The 18,785-nt window shown below is 37.4% G+C and overlaps 2 protein-coding genes across 2 annotated transcripts in view; both read left to right on the top strand.

The window, feature by feature from the left end:
* RBM27-POU4F3 (RBM27-POU4F3 readthrough) overlaps positions 1 to 18,785 on the top strand; it is a 138,124-nt gene that overhangs the window by 61,251 nt on the left and 58,088 nt on the right. Inside the window, exons 14-18 of the mRNA NM_001414499.1 lie at positions 2,794 to 2,913; positions 4,352 to 4,426; positions 4,565 to 4,729; positions 6,099 to 6,203; positions 6,628 to 6,819. Coding sequence (NP_001401428.1) covers positions 2,794 to 2,913; positions 4,352 to 4,426; positions 4,565 to 4,729; positions 6,099 to 6,203; positions 6,628 to 6,819 — 657 coding nt within the window. The remainder of the gene's footprint in view (positions 1 to 2,793; positions 2,914 to 4,351; positions 4,427 to 4,564; positions 4,730 to 6,098; positions 6,204 to 6,627; positions 6,820 to 18,785) is intronic.
* The window catches only part of RBM27 (RNA binding motif protein 27), an 85,619-nt gene that overhangs the window by 61,251 nt on the left and 5,583 nt on the right, over positions 1 to 18,785 (top strand). The window contains exons 15-19 of the mRNA NM_018989.2: positions 2,794 to 2,913; positions 4,352 to 4,426; positions 4,565 to 4,729; positions 6,099 to 6,203; positions 6,628 to 6,819. Coding sequence (NP_061862.1) covers positions 2,794 to 2,913; positions 4,352 to 4,426; positions 4,565 to 4,729; positions 6,099 to 6,203; positions 6,628 to 6,819 — 657 coding nt within the window. The remainder of the gene's footprint in view (positions 1 to 2,793; positions 2,914 to 4,351; positions 4,427 to 4,564; positions 4,730 to 6,098; positions 6,204 to 6,627; positions 6,820 to 18,785) is intronic.

An 18,785-nucleotide genomic window follows, 5' to 3' on the forward strand; every position in this document is an offset into this window, starting at 1 on the left:
ATAGACATGTTGATAAATAGTATTGGGATGACTGGATAGCCAGTAGGGAAAAGATGAAATAAGATCTGATCCTTTTTTTAAAAATTATATCATAAACCAGTATAAATTCCAAATGGATCTGAGATTTAGATGCTGATTGAAAGTCTAAATGATACAACCCTCATGAAAGGAAATTTGGCAGTACAGTATCTGCAAAAATTATGCATATGCATTACTAAACTAGTTATCTTCCTTCTAAGAATCTATGTCAAAGGTATACCAGCCAAAATATGGAAAGACATATGTGCAAGGCTAGTAATGATATACTCTTTATAATAACAAAAGACTGGAAACAACCCAAATACCCATCTGTAGGGGACTGGTTACTGCAAATGTAGTATATCTACACAGTAAATATACAACTATATAAAGAATGAAGAATATTTTTATATGTACCATGGAGTGATTATCAGAATATATTAAGTAAAAAAGCAAAATGGAAGAAAAAAATACATAGTTGACTACTGCTGGTGTGAAAAAGTAGAGGCACTGAACACAGAGAAGTATTTGCTTTTAACAGGAAAAAAACCAAAAAGATAATTCATATTATTTAAATCTTGTGGTTATGGCAAGTATAGAAGAAGCTAGATGACTTTTGATTACGTCTTGTTTTGTAGATTTAACTTGGAACCATGTAAATAAATTCTGAAAGTAATTATAAAGTAAAATTAAATGAAATAGAAGTAATCCCTAAAAAGTGAAAAGAAAAGTGAAACACATGAACTAGCATATCTGCATTGAGTGCTTTAAAACAGTGATTTGATGATGTATTCCTAATGTGATATACCCTGAGGACAAAAAACAATTTAAAGAAAGCTCTTTCTAATCATATTGTTGACAGTGTTGATATTCTAAAACCCATCTGTGAGCATTGTAGGGTAAATCAAATGAGGAATTACACTGATGTCCTTGACAACTCAGACTTTCAGTGTGGTTGAAAAGAGAGATAGAAGATAGATAAGACTAAGTAAATACCTGTAGTCCTGCATTTGAATAGAAACTATCCGTATTAACTCAGGTTGTATTTTATCTTAAGCGGGAAAAAAAAGGCAACAAAATATTCCCCAAACATTTCCCAATTCTATTCACTGAAAAGGTCTAGAAATAATGACCAGCCCAGTCATTGAGCATCCCTAGCACTCAAAGGGACCCAGGGATCCTTGAAGAAATAGCTGTCTCCAGACCTGAGACTGGCAGTACTGCAGATGAGCCTAGAATATGGTATCAAACCAGAAACTAAGGAGGGTGTCAAAGATTACTAGAGTCCTGTCAAAGAGAAAAACAAATCTGATCAGGCCTCTAGATCTACCCACTAATTTAAAAGAAATTTGGGGGACAGAGGGACATCTTCAAGGGTACCACAGAATCCTATGGGGGAGTACTACTGGATGAGTGACCTGGTTTCTTCAACAAACAATTTGCAATGAAAAGCAAGAGATAGAGAGGGAAACTATGAAGTAAAGGAGACTATAAAGAGATGTAACAAGTTGCACTTACATGGACTTTAATAGATCCCATTTCAAATGGGGGGAAATTGTTTAGAATATTATAAGCTGGAACTGGAGAGGTGAATATTATGGCACATGCAGGACTTTCCTGTGTAAACTAGTTTAATTTTGATGATAATTAAGTGTTGTGGTGATTGAGAGAAGTCTTACATTTGGATATAATATTTATGTGATTGAATTTTCCATGGATTTCTTCATATTATTTTCTATATCTCTTATATTATTCAAAGTTAATTAAGAAGTTTTTAAAAAGACGGGTGCAGTGGCTCACACCTCTAATCCTAGCACTTTGGGAGGCTGAGGTGGGAGGATCACTTGAGCCTAGGAGTTTGAGACCAGCCTAGGCAACATAGAGAGACCCTATCTCTACAAAAAAGAAAAGAAACCAGCTAGGCTTGCAGGCTCGCACCTATAGCCCCAGCTACTCTGGAAGCTGAGGTGGGATTGAGCCCAAGAGATTGAGGCGCAGCAAGCCGTGATTGCACCTCTGCACGCTAGCCTGGGTAGCAGAGTGAGACCTTATCTTTAAAAAAAAAGAAGAAAGGAAAACTTTAAAAAAAGAACGTAGCTTAATACTTAGAAGGATTTTTCAGTTACTGGAAACAAGAGTTTTTATTTGGCACTTCACTTACGAAAAACAACTTGTGAAATACCCTCCAGCCAGATACCACCTGTAGCCAAACAAATTCAACTTATTATTCAGTGAGAGGTATACACAATGAAACTGGATGCCAAAAGGACTTATTTTAGGATTTTGGCTAAGTTAGATGATTTAGAAGGATTTAAGGAAACAGGCATAAATTCTATGATAGGATATCTCACTAAATCTTACCTGGAATGAGGCTAAAGCAGTAAGTGGTAAAGAAGCGGCAGTCATTACCAGGATAAACAGATGTTTAGTCATTTTATAGTTTGGATAGCATTCATATTTTTGTCTCTGTTCAGTCATGATTAGGGATTGGTCTTGCTTTTGTCTTGATCTGTTATGGTCACAGGAGCACCTTTGTCTGATGTTGGTGTTTTGTGAAATTGTGTTTAACAGAAGGGTACTTAGGCTGTTTTTATCTTTTGGGTGACAAATTTATGCATAAAGAACTAGATTTTATAATGAAATTTTTAAATGTAAAAAGAAAATTTAACTCCTAAGAAGAGTAGAAATATATGCATCTTTTCTAAAAAAGTATTCTAAGCATTTCTAAGATATAATTATATTTGTGTGTGCTTTTTTTTTTTCTTTATTTTTTAGATATTTTCAACTCCAGGCCATCCAAAAATGATTTACAGCTCCTCAAACTTAAAGACACCTTCAAAGCTCTGTTCAGGGTCTAAATCTCATGATGTTCAAGAAGTGCTTAAAAAAAAACAGGTAACAGTCTTGATTCTTCTTGCCTTACAGAAGAAAAGATGCCTTGAATTTTTAAGTGGTTACATTATCACTTTTAAATCAGTTCATGTTGGCAGGGCATAACATCATAATGCTTATTTAGCTTCTTCTCTAATGTAAACTTGGAAAAAAAAGGTGGACATACAGAAAAAATGTTTCACAATTGCCATTCAGAATTTTTTTTTGATACACTATTATTCCCTCCAATTCTAGTGTTTATTTTCTTTTTTTAATTCCTAGGTAGATAATGATTCATATAAAATATAAGACTTTTGTAATTATTATCTATATGATTCAGTTCTGAGTTTCATTGTCATCCTGTTAAGTTCACATAGGGTTTTCCAAATTAAATAGATATTTATATGTACTATCTCAGTATAATTAGAGATTTAACAGGAGGGTGGGAGGCAAAATTTTCCTGGTGAAATCCATAGATTTTACTCTCTTATTTCTTATTTCTTTTTTTTTTTTTTGAGACGGAGTTTTGCTCTTGTTGCCCAGGCTGGAGTGCAATGGTGTGGTCTTGGCTCACTGCAACCTCCGCCTCCTGGGTTCAAGCGATTCTCCTGCCTCAGCCTCCAGAGTAGCTGGGATTACAGGCATGCGCCACCACCCCTGGCTAATTTTGTATTTTTAGTAGAGATGGATTTTCTCCATGTTGGTCAGGCTAGTCTTGAACTCCCAACCTCAGGTGATCCACCTGCCTCGGCTTCCCAAAGTGCTGGGATTACAGGTGTGAGCCACTATGCCCGGCCTACTCTATCATTTCTAACCTATAGCTGCATGTCACTTTTTTCTTTTCTTTTCTTTTCTTTGAGACAAGTTCTCACTCTGTCACTCACGTTGAGTGCAGTGTCATGATCATGGCCCAGTGCAGCCTTGATGTCCCAGGCTCAAATGATCCTCCCACCTTAGCCTTCTGAGTAGCTGAGTAGGCATGTGCCACCATGCCCTGGCTAATTTTGTTCATTTTTTTGTAGAGACAGGGTCTCATTCTGTTGCCGAGGCTGGACTCAAGCATTCCTACCACCTCAGCCTCCCAAAATGCTAGGATTACAAGTTGAGCCACCATGCCTAGCCTCACATTTTTAAACTTTAAACTTAAAAAATAAGGATTTAGCTATTACATTGGCAAGTGAAAACAACTTTGGTTTTTCTTCATAAGGACATTCAGGTCATTCAAGTCAATAAATCTCATAGATATAGCTAATTAGGTCCAATATTTTAAATATTTTTTAAGTACAGTTGTAAACTCTATTATGCTGAAAGTGTTAGGGAAAATATATTCAAAGGTTTCATCTATGGTGTCAGCTATTTTTTTATTAGGAGGACAGTCTGTCTCAGGGATGACCCAGAAAAAATGAGTTGAGAATGGTGGCAAATTACATTATCTGTATTAATTTCTTTTTTACTTATACAGGAAGCAATGAAGTTACAACAAGATATGAGGAAAAAAAGACAGGAAGTGTTAGAAAAGCAAATAGAATGCCAAAAGGTAAGACAAGAGCTCATTATTTGCATGCTAGAATTGATGTATAGAATTGATTTTAAAAGTATTATTCATAATTTTTAAAGACTTCTTTATATTAAAGTTTATTAAGCATGGTTTTACCTTTTTCTATTTATTTCGTAGATGTTAATATCCAAGTTAGAAAAAAACAAAAACATGAAACCAGAAGAAAGAGCAAATATAATGAAGACTTTGAAAGAGCTTGGAGAGAAGATCTCACAATTAAAAGATGAATTAAAAACATCTTCTGCAGTCTCCACACCATCTAAAGTGAAGACAAAAACGGAGGTATCTATTTGCATTTTTTATTTAACATAGGGTTATTGAACATCTGCCATGTGCTTGACACCTTGAAAGTACAATGGGACCCTTAGGTAGCTAATATCCTAACAGGGATATAGGCAAACAATTATAGTACTTAAAAAAAAAATCCTAATTATAGTACCTTTTTTTTTTTTTTTTTTTTTTTTAAGAGACAAGGTCTCACTATATTGCCCAGGTTGGCCTCAAATGCAGTCCTCCCACCTTGGCCTCCCAGAGTGCTGGGATTACAGGTGTGAACCACTGCACCCGGCTGCCACAATTTTTTTGTTTTAGTGTTTCTGTAGATGCTCTGTACCCTTTTTGGGAAGAGGTTGATAATACCCTGTTTGAACAAAGATGTGTTTTTTAACTGAATATTTTGGTTCTCTGCTGAAGATGACACTATTAAAGTGATGGTGGTGAAAGAGGTATTTCCCATTTCAGCAGTGTTTTTCTAATGCTGTAATAGTATTGTAATAAAACCATCCTTTAAAAAAAGAAGCCTGGCCTATTCATATGGGTAAAAATGTGGCATGTTATTAAAAAGAATAATCAGAAGTTTTAGATCTATTTAAGTCTAATTTTTATTAATTTCCATGTGTTTCCTTGCTGTACTTGGTTTAGTCAGTGGTTCCATTACACCACAGTTCTGTGGTGTGATTATAGATAATTCTAGTCCTTTGAGAACTGGTAATGAATTTGTCAGATATGTAGAATGTAAATTGTTATATGTAGTATTACATTAAATTTGAAATTATGGTTCTCTATCAGTATAGAAACATAAAGTGTTTAAGATTTCTTCTTAAAGATATAATAAAAATGTTTTTTATTGAAATCTTTTCTAATTATAGAAAGAATATATATGCACATTTTAAAAATTAAAGAGGTGAAAAAATCATTGGCAGTCATGTCTTTTAAAGACTGATAAATAATTCGTCTCTAACAAAAAAGAGAATGTCAACAGTTGTGGATTCCAATCTGGTAGTAATTATGTAGCTGTTACTTTGTATTATAAATACATTTTTACTATATAATTTATTTTGCTCCATTGTGTTTCATTTGTGATACTTTATTATGTGACAGTTATTCTCAGCTCCCTCATCTCAGGTGTCTGTTCCTAGGATGTAATTTTTAAGCCGTCTAATGCTTACTCTTTTTCACTGATATCTATATACTTTTTACATGTTGGCACTACTATATCTGTAAAGTTACTTTTTTAAAAACACCCATGTTTATTGCATCCTCTCATTCTCATGTTCCAAAATACATGTGTGTCATTGTGTAACTATCATGTTCTGGAGGAGATCTTGTAAGTTATCTAAAAAATACCTTTTTATTTTCAATTTTTCCAAAGGCCCAGAAGGAGTTATTAGATACTGAACTGGACCTCCACAAGAGGCTGTCCTCAGGAGAAGACACCACAGAATTACGGAAAAAACTCAGTCAGTTACAGGTTGAGGTGAGATTTAAAAGGAGTTAGCGCCCCACCACATTTAACGTCTCAAAAAAGTTTTCCTTTGACCGGGCGCGGTGGCTCACGCCTGTAATCTCAGCACTTTGGGAGGCCGAGGCGGGTGGATCACCTGAGGTCAAGAGTTTGAGACAAGCCTGACCAACATGGAGAAACCCCGTCTCTACTAAAAATACAAAATTAGCCAGGCATGGTGGTGCTTGCCTGTAATCCCAGCTGCTTGGGAGGCTGAGGCAGGAGAATAGCTTGAACCTGGGAGGCAGAGGTTGCAGTGAGCCGAGATCGTGCCATTGCACTCGAGCCTAGGCAACGAGAGTGAAATTCCATCTCAAAAAAAAAAAAAAAGTTTTCCTTTGTTTTTAAGGTTTAGTCTAATAATGTATGCTACATTCTACTTTTTGTTGTTATTCAGGCTGCACGGTTAGGTATTTTACCTGTGGGTCGAGGAAAGACCATGTCCTCTCAAGGTCGAGGAAGAGGCCGAGGGCGTGGAGGAAGAGGAAGGGGCTCACTAAATCACATGGTGGTGGACCATCGTCCCAAAGCACTAACAGTTGGAGGATTCATTGAGGAAGAAAAAGAAGACTTGCTTCAGCATTTCTCAGTAAGTTTTTAAAATAGCAAATGCTAACTGTAAAAACACTGTGCTCATCATTTTCCTTGCTGCAGTGTCTATAAATGTCAGATGTTTTATAGATTAGAAAAATTAGTTGTAAAAAACATGAGTACTACCAAATGCCTATTTAATATATTTAAAAGTCAAGAAGCAGCTCTTGCTTTTGATTCCATAATACTCCACTTAAGTGCATTTGTAGTGACAAGTTGTTCCAGAGCTATATTTAATTTTTGTTTTAGGATTATTACATGGCTTACCAGGCATTTATAGTTAATAGTGAAACAGTCTGGGATGGAAGCAAAATTCAAATAAAGAATTTATTAGGATAACAGGTATATTTAGTTACATTCTGTATATAGTGGCAACCACTTACTTTTAGGCAAACATGCAAATAGAGATTTGCTACAGGCAAATGTCTTTACTGTTTTGGACATATGCAGTATATACTCTTTCCAGCCACTCATTCATTCAGTAAATATTTTATTGACATTATTTGTGCTAGAACATTTTCATACATGATCTCATTTAATTTTAAATGACTGTATAAATGTGAAATACATGCAAACTGTATATACATGCAAAACTGTGTACATGTGAAATCCTGTGTGTACAGATGTGAACACCACAAGTTAAAATGTCAACCACAATCATATAATTAATAAGTAGTGGAACCAAGATAACCAGGTTCCCTATTCCTCAAACAACTCTTTTGAGAGGAAGTATTTTCAGTCCTATTAAGTTTTAAAGATGGCCAGGGACAATGGCTCATGTCTGTAATCCCAGCACTCTGGGAGGCTGAGGCAGGTGGATGACCTGAGGTCAGTCAGGAGTTTGAGACCAGCCTGGCCAACATGGTGAAACCCCATCTCTACTAAAAATACAAAAATTAGCTGGGTGTGGTGGTGTGCGCCTGTAATCCCAGCTTCTTAGGAAGCTGAGGCAGGAGAATTGCTTGAACTCGGGAGGCAGAGGTTGCAGTGAGCTGAGATAGTGCCATTGCACACCAGCCTGGGCCACAAGAGCGAAACTCCATCTCAAAAAAAAAAAAAAAGTATTAAAGATGGTGAGGGAAATCATAAAGAGCAAGGCTTCACTTCAAGTGTTTTTATTAGTTTGATGCCCATTAACCCTGTTTCACCCTGATTCTTGGGGAAGATAGGCCAAGAAAAGTGTCCAGATTTGAATGTCCTCTGGGTTGTGAATGGTTCACTCTTGACCCAGTTCTTTCCCTGATGTAACCCTTATTTGCCTTTTTTGTAAAGTGGGAGAATAGCTCTAAGTGACTTCTTGAGGAGTAAAGAAGATGGAGGAACACTATACAAGTGCAGTGTATTGTGAAGGCCGCACGAATGTTGATTTTTGCCTTTTAAGGTTTAGTATATAAAATTAAAATCTCTTTGCCAAATAAATTGGTCTTGTAGAACCAGTACCAGTTCTGGTGAGGTGATATTGGATTATGTGAAGCAGAATTTCTACAAATTTGACTCATTGCAGAAAGTTTCAGTTACAAAAAATAGTTAATCTTACTAGGGAGACAGCTACATGTTCTATCCTGTGGTCACTGGAGACTATATGTAGATGTTTAAATTTTAACCCAGAAGCCATGCTCAAATGGATCTCCTTCCTTCTGAAAAGTAGAACCATTCTAAAGCATCTAAAAATAACCAATTTTTATGTACATATACCTGACAAGTCTGCAGTGTGGCATTCAGTTGGCAGATGTGGTTATGTCTAGACACTTAGAAAAGAGCAAGCAAAGCTAAGGCAGATGAGGTAACTTCAAGAACAAAACACTTCCTTTGATTTGGATGGCTCTTTTTTTTTCTTTTTTGATAGCATACTATCAGAAAGGGTATTGAGTACTAGGAGCACACTTCCCTGATAATAACTACCTGGGCAATATAGTATGCTTTCTTTGAAAGAAATACAGAAATACATATTCTTAGGCATTATTGCGAATAGAGTTAGCAAACATAAAAGGAAACTCTTCTTCAAGGTCTTTTGTATCTCACAGAGGCCAAGGTAAAATCTATATTTTCAGTATTCTTCTATTCTTAATGATTATGAAAGGATCATGGGTGAGCCATATCTATATGAGAAAATGATGGATGGATTTTAATGAAGCTATTTGGAATCTAATTCTGGAGTCCTTCAGAGTTTGCTCTTCAATAGTCTAAGAACTTATCATAAGTGGATTATGGTCGTATGCAAATGGCAGCTATAAGTATGCTCATTATAGTGCATGTAATAGTGAAAAATGATAACCATGTAAATGTTTGACAGTGTTTTGCTGCCTTTAAAAATGTATTTTTTTTGAGACGGAGTTTTGCTCTCGTCGCCCAGGCTGGAGTGCAATGGCACGATCTTGGCTCATTGCAACCTCCACCTCCTGGGTTCAAGCGATTATCCTGCCTCAGCCTCCTGAGTAGCTGGGATTACAGGTGTTAGCCACCACACCCAGCTAATTTTTGTATTTTTAGTGTTAGTAGTATTAGCATTTCTCTATTTTCCATACTTCCTGAGGAACACATACTCCTTTTTTTTTTTAATAGGTGGTTATCTTTTTTTTGTTTTTTGTTTTCTGTTTTTTGTGACAGTCTCCATCTGTCACCCAGGCTGGAGTGTAGTGGCATGATCTTAGCTCACTACAACCTCTGCCTCCTGGGTTCAAGCGATTCTCGTGCCTCAGCCTCCTGAGTAGCTGAGACTACAGGCACGCACGACCACACCCAGCTAATTTTTCTGTATTTTTTACTAGAGATGGGGTTTTGCCATGTTGGCCAGGCTGGTCTCAAACTCCTGGCCTCCAGTGATAACTGCCCGCCGGCCGCGTTGGCCTCCCAAAGTGCTGGGATTACAGGCATGAGCCACCGTGCCCGGCCCACACATACTACTTTTAAAATCAGACTTTTTTCTTCACATTCACTTTTGGGATGAAGCATCAGTGTTTTATATTATGTATTTTAAAACCAAATTTGAGGATATTGATTGATCTCGATCTTTTTGGTCCCAGGTACTTATATGAAAGGTATATTTACATTAAAGCATATACAAATTTAAAATACATAGAATATTTAATTTACAGTGCAGGTTATATATATAACAGCATAAAAACATACATTAATATATAAATATATTAATAGTATGTATCAGAGATCAGCAGACTTTTTCTGTAAAGGACTAGATAGTAAATACTTTAGGTTTTTTGTGAGGAGATACAGATGATCTCCTTTACATTGTCTTCTCTCCTTTCACCTGCTCTTCCCTCTCTTCCTCTTTCCTTTCTAGTTCTTTTTCTTTTTTTTCTTTTTCTTCTTTGTACTTCAATGGATGAACATATTTTTCTTTTAATAACCTTTTCAAAAATGTAAAAACCATTCTTAGCTCCTGGGTCGTTAAAAACAGGGTGCTGGGCTACATTTATCCTGAGGGCTGTAGTATGCAGACCCCTGGTATGTTATTATGTTACTTTATATATCAAATATTTAAGTTAAACATAATTGAAATATATAAATATAATTTTATATATTTTAAAGATCAAAATCAGCGAATCCAGAAAGAACTTTTTAATTTTAATTTTTTTTTATTTTTTATTTTTTTGGAGACGGAGTCTTGCTCTGTCGCCCAGGCTGGAGTGCAGTGGTGTGATCTCGACTCCCTTGCAATCTCCGCCTCCTAGGTTCAAGTGATTCACCTACCTCAGTCCCTCCAGTAGTTGGGATTACAGGCGTACACCTCCTGGCTAATTTTTTTGTGTTTTTTAGTAGAGACGGGTTTCACCATGTTGGCCAGCCTGGTCTCAAACTCCTGACCTCAGGTGATCCACTGCCTTAGCCTCCCAAAGTGCTAGGATTATAGGCATGAGCCACTGCGCCCGGCCCAGAAAGAACTTTTTAAAAAATAGAAAAATCTTTATTTACCTATCTTTATTTCACAGAAATCTTAAGATTTTTAATATCTTAATGAAGTTAATGTTAAGTATTTATAATTAAAGTTTAATTCAGAAGCTGAAAATTTTAACTCAGAGCCTTGCCAAGGGCACAGATGGGACAAAAACTAAAGTACTTCATCCCTGTTGAAGGGAGGTTCGGCTAGATACAACAGGAAAAGTTATTTTCTCTAAATATTTGGAATATATAGACTGTACTTTGATATTTTTCAAGTAGTGTGGCTCATTTAACTGTAAGAATTTTGAATTTTTCCTTCTTTTCAAGAAGTCTAGAGTTAGGTTTTAGGATTGATCAATTCAGAAATTCAGCTGCTCAGATTAATATATTTCTCTTCTTCTATCCTACCATGTTGCCTTTTATTAGGCTTTTTTCCTCTTGCCTTGACCTCCCAAAATGTTGGGATTACAGGCATGAGCCATTGCACCTGGCTAGTTTTTTTTTCTTTTTTTAAATTCCTGTTTTTACTGTTACTTCTTGATTTCTAAATTGTAAGCATTATATATTGACTTCCCATTAATCTTTCTGCTTCCCACCTCTCCAGTTTTTTTTTGACCTTGTCGTGTTTTCTTTTATTTTTTTGTTACGGATTTATACCTTAAAAAAATAAATTATTCTACTGTCATTTCAGTGGGTGTCTGGGGAAGGGTATGAAATTGCATACGACAGATGGTCAGTTCCCCATCTTTAGCCAGAAGACCCTTTGAGTCTTGAGAAAGTAAGAGGTTTATCTCTAAAGTACTGTTTAGAACCTGTGCTCCCACAATATTTATATAATTCGTTATAATTTTTATGTTCTTACTGGCAAAAACCTCTAATGTCTCACTCCTGTCATTCCTGGAACTTCATATGAGGCAACAGAATACCTCTGCTGTAATTACCAAAGACTTCGCACATAGTTAGCTTTTCCCCACAGCCTCTCAAGACAGGGATTTTCCCCCATCTTCCAAGTATCTGAAAAATATATTTGAGAATTTTACTGTACATGGAAATGATACTTTATAGTTAGGCAGATAGTTTTCTTTTGTGCTTTCCAGAACAAAAATTAACCTTTTCTGTGTATTTAACATTTGGAGAAAGTTTTTTAGATAGTGCTTCATTGATTGCCCTTCATCAGACCTTGTTAAAAAAGTAATGTAGGCCTGGCTTGGTGGCACCTGCCTGTAATCCCAGCACTTTGGGAGGCTGAGGTGGGAGGATTGCTTGAGCCCAGAAGTTCAAGACCAACCTGGGCAGCATAGTGAGACCCTATCTTTACAAAACAACTTAAATTAAATTTAAAAGGTAATATGGGTGATTTGTGAGCTATGACCATTTACTGTTGTTATCTGTCACAAGTGATCAGGAGTTTACCTTTTCTGCACACTTTACTGTGTTCAGGGTTCTTCAGGTGAAAATATAATTTTCGTAGCTAGTTCTAGGAGTGAAATATGGCAATGGTAATTCTGTGACCTTTACAAAGACATTGAAACTCTAAACTGCTGTAATTTTTTCTCTTAATTTTGAAAATTTCTTTACAAAGGTAGTTACTGCTTTTAGAACATTCAAACAATACAAATTATAAAGGAGAAGGCACAACAAATTTGAAATCTTACCAATTACATTTTTATGAACATCTTTCTAGCACCTGTATCTGTCATATGTATACATACTACCCATGCTGTTTTGGAGTTTGTTTTTACATCCATAGTGTATCATGGAGAATTGTTCATGTTTATGAATATAGATATACATTTGTCTTATTTGAAGGCATTCTGTTATAAGAATATGCCATAATTTTTATGTACAGCCCCCTATTGATGAGTTAGGTAGGTTGTTTACCATTTAACTATTATGAACAATGTTATATACATCATGTTAGATTTAGCATATTTACTGGGATAATTTTTTTTTTTTTTTTTTTTTTTGAGACGGAGTCTTGCTGTGTCACCCAGGCTGGAGTGCAGTGGCACGATCTTGGCTCCCTGCAACCTCCACCTCCTGGGTTCATGCCATTCTCCTGCCTCAGCCACCCGAGCAGCTGGGACCACAGGCGCCCGCCACCAGGCCCAGCTAATTTTTTTTTTTTTTTTGTATTTTTAGTAGAGGCGGGGTTTCACCATGTTGGTCAGGCTGGTCTCAAACTCCTGATCTCAGGTGACCTCCCACCTCGGCCTCCCAAAGTGCTGGGATTACAGGCATGAGCCACCGCGCCTGGCCAATAATTTTTCATTATGTGGGACAGTGCTGCACATTGTAAAACTTCTGGCACCCCTGGCTACCACCTACTAATTGCCAGTAAGTGCTACTTAGTCAGTGTGACTGCCAAAATACCTGCTAGAGTGATGTCTCCAATTGAGAACCACTGCTTTAGGTAAATTCCTAGGAAGGAGATAACTGGATCAAAGGCATGCATTGAAATTTTGGTACAGCTCGCTAAATAACCCTTCAGAATGTTGTACTAATTTATACTTGTAGTGACATTGGATGAGAGTACCTATTTGCTCATTCCCTCATATAGCACTTGAATTTTGTTTTTTTATCTGCCAGTCAGTTGATTGATACATGATGACTGGCATAGATTGGGCGTCAGTTTCTAATCGGGGAAAATGGCTGGACTAGATGAATTTCTCTTTGAGCAGCTTCTACCAAGAACCCTAATATGCATATAATTTTTAATTTATGGTATATATAGTTGATCTCATATTCACATATATATGTATTTTATTTGAATTATTTCCTTGGCCAACACACGTAAACAAAATGAAAAAGGAATAAAAGTGTATACAATGAAAAATAAGATTTCCTTCTACCTCCAGTCACTCAATTTCACTCCCCATAGACAATTATTGTTACGAGTTTCTCATACATCTGCTTAAAGATATTCTCTCTCTATATATATTATTTGTTCTCTCTTTTATAAAAATGGTAGCATGTTATACAACACCGTTTTGCCATATGTACTTTTACTTTATATTAGATTTTAAATTGTTCTACACTAGTGCATGTGGTGTTGCTTCATTCTTTTTAATGACTGCATGGTATTTCATTGCACAGATATATAATACTACAGTTGAACCATCCTGTATTGATGGACATCCAATTTTTTCCCAATTTTTTTTTTTTTTTGAGACGGAGTCTGGCTGCCTCCCAGGCTGGAGTGCAGTGATGCAGTCTGAGCTCACTGCATGCTCCGCCTCGCAGGTTCATGCCATTCTCCTGCCTCAGCCTCCCGAGTAGCTGGGACTACAGGCACTCGCCACCACGCCTGGCTAATTTTTTGTATTTTGAGTAGAGACGGGGTTTCACCGTGTTAGCCAGGATGGTCTCGATCTCCTGACCTCGTGATCTGCCCGCCTCTGCCTCCCAAAGTGCTGGGATTACAGGCATCAGCCCCTGCGCCTGGCCTTTTTTCCCAATATTTTATCATTTTAAACCATATTTAGATGTGTATGTGAGAGAATGTATATGTATGTGTAGAACAATTAGGTACTGTAATAAGTAACAAATATGTTAAGAGATTAATCCTAGATTTTTTTAAAAAGTACTTTTTAGGGCTGGGTGCGGTGGCTCACACCTGTAATCCCAGCACTTTGGGAGCCCCAGGTGGGTGGATCACGAGGTCAGGAGATTGAGACCATCCTGGCTGACACAGTGAAACCCCATCTCTACTAAGAATACAGAAAATTAGCCGGGCATGGTGGCGTGCACCTGGAGTCCCAGCTACTCAGGAGGCTGAGGCAGGAGAATCACTTAAACCTGGGAGGCGGGTTACAGTGAGCCGAGATCGCGCCACTGCACTCCAGCCTGGGCGACAGAGTGAGACTCTGTCTAAAAAACAAAAAAACAAAAAAAAAACAAAACTTTTAAAAATAAAAATATAATGTATGCAAATGGTTAAAAGGATGACTAGGGCCAGGTACGGTGGCTCACGCCTATAATCACAGCACTTTGGGAGGCCGAGGCGGGTGGATCACCTGACCTCAGGAGTTTGAGACCAGCCTGGCCAACATGGCAAAACCCTATCTCAACAAAAAATACAAAAATTAGCTAGCTGTGGTGGCATCTGCCTGTAGTCGCAGCTACTCGGGAGCCTGAGGCACATGAATTGCTTGAGCCCAGGAGGTGGAGGTTGGAGTGAACCCAGATTGCGCCACTGCACTCCAGCCTGGGCAATAGAGCAAGACTCTGTCTCAAAAAAAAAAAAAAAAAAAGTATGACTAATAAAAGTAAAATCTCCCTTTTATTAATCTTTTTCCATTCTTAAAAGATAGTCACTATTCTTAGGTATCTTTATAGAAAAATACTATGTATGTAAGAAAACATATATAAAGCTTCTCACTTTAAAAACATTTACGAAAATGTGATCGTATTATACATACAGGGCTGCATTCCAAACCTTGCCTTTTTCACATAAAAATCTTAGCTATCTGGTATTCCTTTAATTTTTTTTTTTTTTGGAGACAGAGTCTCAAGTCACCTGTCACCCAGGCCGGAGTGCAGTGGTACGATCTCAGCTCACTGCAACCTCCACCTCCCAGGTTCAGGGATTCTCCTTTCTTCGCCTCCTGAGTAGCTGGGATTATAGGCATGCACCACCGCGCCCAGCTAATTTTTGTATTTTTAGTAGAGATGAGGTTTCACCATGTTGGCCAGCTGGTCTCAAACTCCTGAACTCAGGTGATCTACCTGCCTCAGCCTCAAAGGGCTGGGATTATAGGCATGTGCCACCACGCCCGACCTATTTCCTTAAAATTTTTAAAGGTTATACCTATAGTCAACTAAAAATGTTTATAAAAACCAACTATACTGATCATAAACATATAGTTCAATGATTTATGAGAAGGCAAACACCTAATATACCTATACCTCAGGTCAAGAAATAGAACATTTCCAATACCCCAATCTCCCTTGTTGCTCCCTCCAGCCTCTATCTATCTTCTCTCCTTCTCAGAGCAGTAACTGTTAGCCTCACTTTATGATAGTCACCTTGCTTTCTTTATACAGTCAATCCTTATTATTTTCAGATTCCACATTTGCCAATTCATCTACTCACTAAAATTTATTTGTAACCCCAAAATCAATACTTATGGTGTTTTGTGGTCATTCTCAGACATACACACAGTTGCCAGTCCCCTCATGAGCCCGTTTTCAGCTGAGATAGAAATAAGGTGGTGCTATGCCTTCTTGTTTCAGCTTTTATACTGTAAACAAATGCCCCTTTTGCAGTCTATTTGTTTTATTTATTTATTTATTTATTTTTGAGACAGAGTCTCGCTCTGTCACTCAGGCTGGAGTGCAGTGGCATGATCTTGGCTCACTGCAGCCTTCGCCTCCCGGGTTCAAGTGATTATCTTGCCTCAGCCTACCTAGTAGCTGGGATTACAGGCGCCCACCACCACACCCAACTAATTTTTGTATTTTTAGTAGTAGAGACGAGGTTTCACCATGTTGGCCAGGTTGGTCTCAAACTCCTGACATCGGCCTCCTAAAGTGCTAGGATGACAGGCGTGAGCCCCTGCGCCCAGCCTTTGCAGTCTATTTAATGCCACATTTTTCTCAATTTTTTTTGTTTTCTTGGTGATTAAACTGTTTTAAATGGCCCCCGAATGTAGTTCTAAAGTCCTGTCTAGTGTTCCTAAGTGCAAGGCTGTGATATGCCTTACAAAGATACATGTGTTAGTTAAGCTTTGTTCAGGCATGAGTGAGTGCTTTTGGCCATGAGTTCAATGTTAATGAATCAGTAACATATATTAAATAAGATGTCTTTCAACAGAAACACATAAAACCAAAGTTTGTGTTGATTAGCTGACAAAAATGTTGTGACCCTCTAAAACAGGAGTGTCCAATCTTTTGGCTTCCCTGGACCACACTGGAAGAAGAATAATTGTCTTGGGCCACACATAAAATACACTAACACTAATGATACCTGATGAACAGGAAAAAAAAATCTCATAGTGTTTTAAGAAAGTTTATGAAATTTGTGTTGGGCTGCATTCAAAGCCATCCTGGGCCATATGTGGCCCATGGGCCACAGGTTGGACAAGGTTGCTCTAGAGGCTCATAAGAGTCTAATTCTATTTCCCCTATAAGTAGTGGCTATTTGCCAGTTAAATGTTTGCATCAACTTTTTAGAACAAAACTACTGCAAGTAATGAGAATTGACTGTAGTTTTATCACCTAAATATGCATTCCTAAATATTAGAGTAGTATTCTGCCTGTTTTTAAAATGTTATGTAAATGGAATCACACAGTGTATATTCTTTTGTGCTTGGCTTCTTCTGTTTAATGTTTGTGAGACTCATTCATGTTTTTACATGTAACATTAATTTGCCATTTTTATTACTATATAATAGTTGTATCAATATACCACAGTTTATTTTTCATCTTTTTTTTTTTTTTTTTTTTTGAGATGGAGTCTCACTCTGTTGCCCAGGCCAGATCACAGTGGCGCGATCTCGGCTCTTGGCAACCTCCACCTCATGGGTTCAAGCGATTCTCTCCTGCCTCAGCCTCCTGAGTAGCTGGGATTATGGGCGTGTGCCAGTACCCCTGGCTAATTTTTGTATTTTTAGTAGAGATGGTGTTTCTCCATGTTGGACAGGCTGGTCTTGAACTGCTGACCTCAGGTGATCCGCCCACCTCGGCCTCCCAAAGTGTTAGGATTACAGGCGTGAGCCACCGCACCCAGCCTCATCCTCTTACTGATGGATGTTTGGGTTATTTCTACTATGTGGCTTTTGTAAGCAGTGTTGCTATCTTATACATGTTTTTAACTACACATGTACACACCATTTCTCTTGGATATACAGTTGGCCCTTCATATGTGTGGGTTTCACCTCCATGGATTCAACCTATTTTGGATCAAAAATATTGGGAAAAAAATGAAAGGTTGCATCTGTACTGAGCATGTACATTTTTTGTCATTATTCCCTAAACAATACAGTATAACAACTATTTACATAGCTTTTACATTGCATTAGATATTATAAGTAATCTAGAGAGGATTCAAAGTATATAGGAGAATGTGTGTAGATTACATGCTAATACTACACTATTTTATGTAAATGACTTGAGCATTCATGGATTTTGGTATTCACAGAGAGTCCTGGAACCAGTCCCCCAGAAACACCAAGTGATGACTGTATGTGGAATTGCTGAGTGAACCCCATCAGTTTTAGATTCTTACCAGTTTAGAATCAGTTTGAGATTCTCACCATTTGTGTATGAGAATTCCTAACTTGGTAGCGTCATAATATATCTTTATTCTAATTGCTAATTTATTTGATTTGTTGTAAGTTAGATAGTAGAAATTATTTGTTCTTAATTTCAGACTCTGTATACATTTCTTATTCTTCCTTTAATAATGTATATGCAATACATTTAATGCCTTAATATTCCTTTTGGAGGACAGACCTCTTATCCTCTTTGGAGAGCAACACAGTTATTACAGATTTAAAAATCTTTATTACTTTTTCTGTTTATAAAAGTAATATGTTTTTATTTAGAAATTCAAATAATAAAGAAATGAACAAAACAAGCAGGGAAAGCCTCTCTATAATTGGGCTGTGTGTTAAAGGATAGAGTAAAGGGTAAAGGATCTCTGTTACGTACATTACCTAATTTTTAAAAGATGGTAAATATAGACCAGGTGCTGTGGCTCGTGCCTGTAATTCCAACACTTTGGGAGGCTAAGGTGGGAGAATTCCTCGAGCCCAAGAGTTTGAGACCAGCCTGGGCAACATCGGGAGACCCCGTCTATAAAAATAAAAAAATTAGCCAGGTGAGGTGGTGCATGCCTGTGGTCTCAGCTCCTTGGGAAGCTGAAGTGGGAGGATCACTTGGACCCAGGGAGTCGAGGCTGCAGTGAGTGTGATCTTCCCACTGCACATTCCAGCCTGGGAATCAGAGCAAGACCCTGTCTCAAAAAGAAAAAAAAAAGGTACATATCTATATTTGGTAGGGCTATTTTGATACATCAGTTTGGTATGTCCCATGAGTCATAATGTTTGGTGTTAGGTTATGAGC

This window comes from Homo sapiens, chromosome 5 (assembly GCF_000001405.40).
Source record: "Homo sapiens chromosome 5, GRCh38.p14 Primary Assembly".
NCBI lineage: Eukaryota > Metazoa > Chordata > Mammalia > Primates > Hominidae > Homo > Homo sapiens.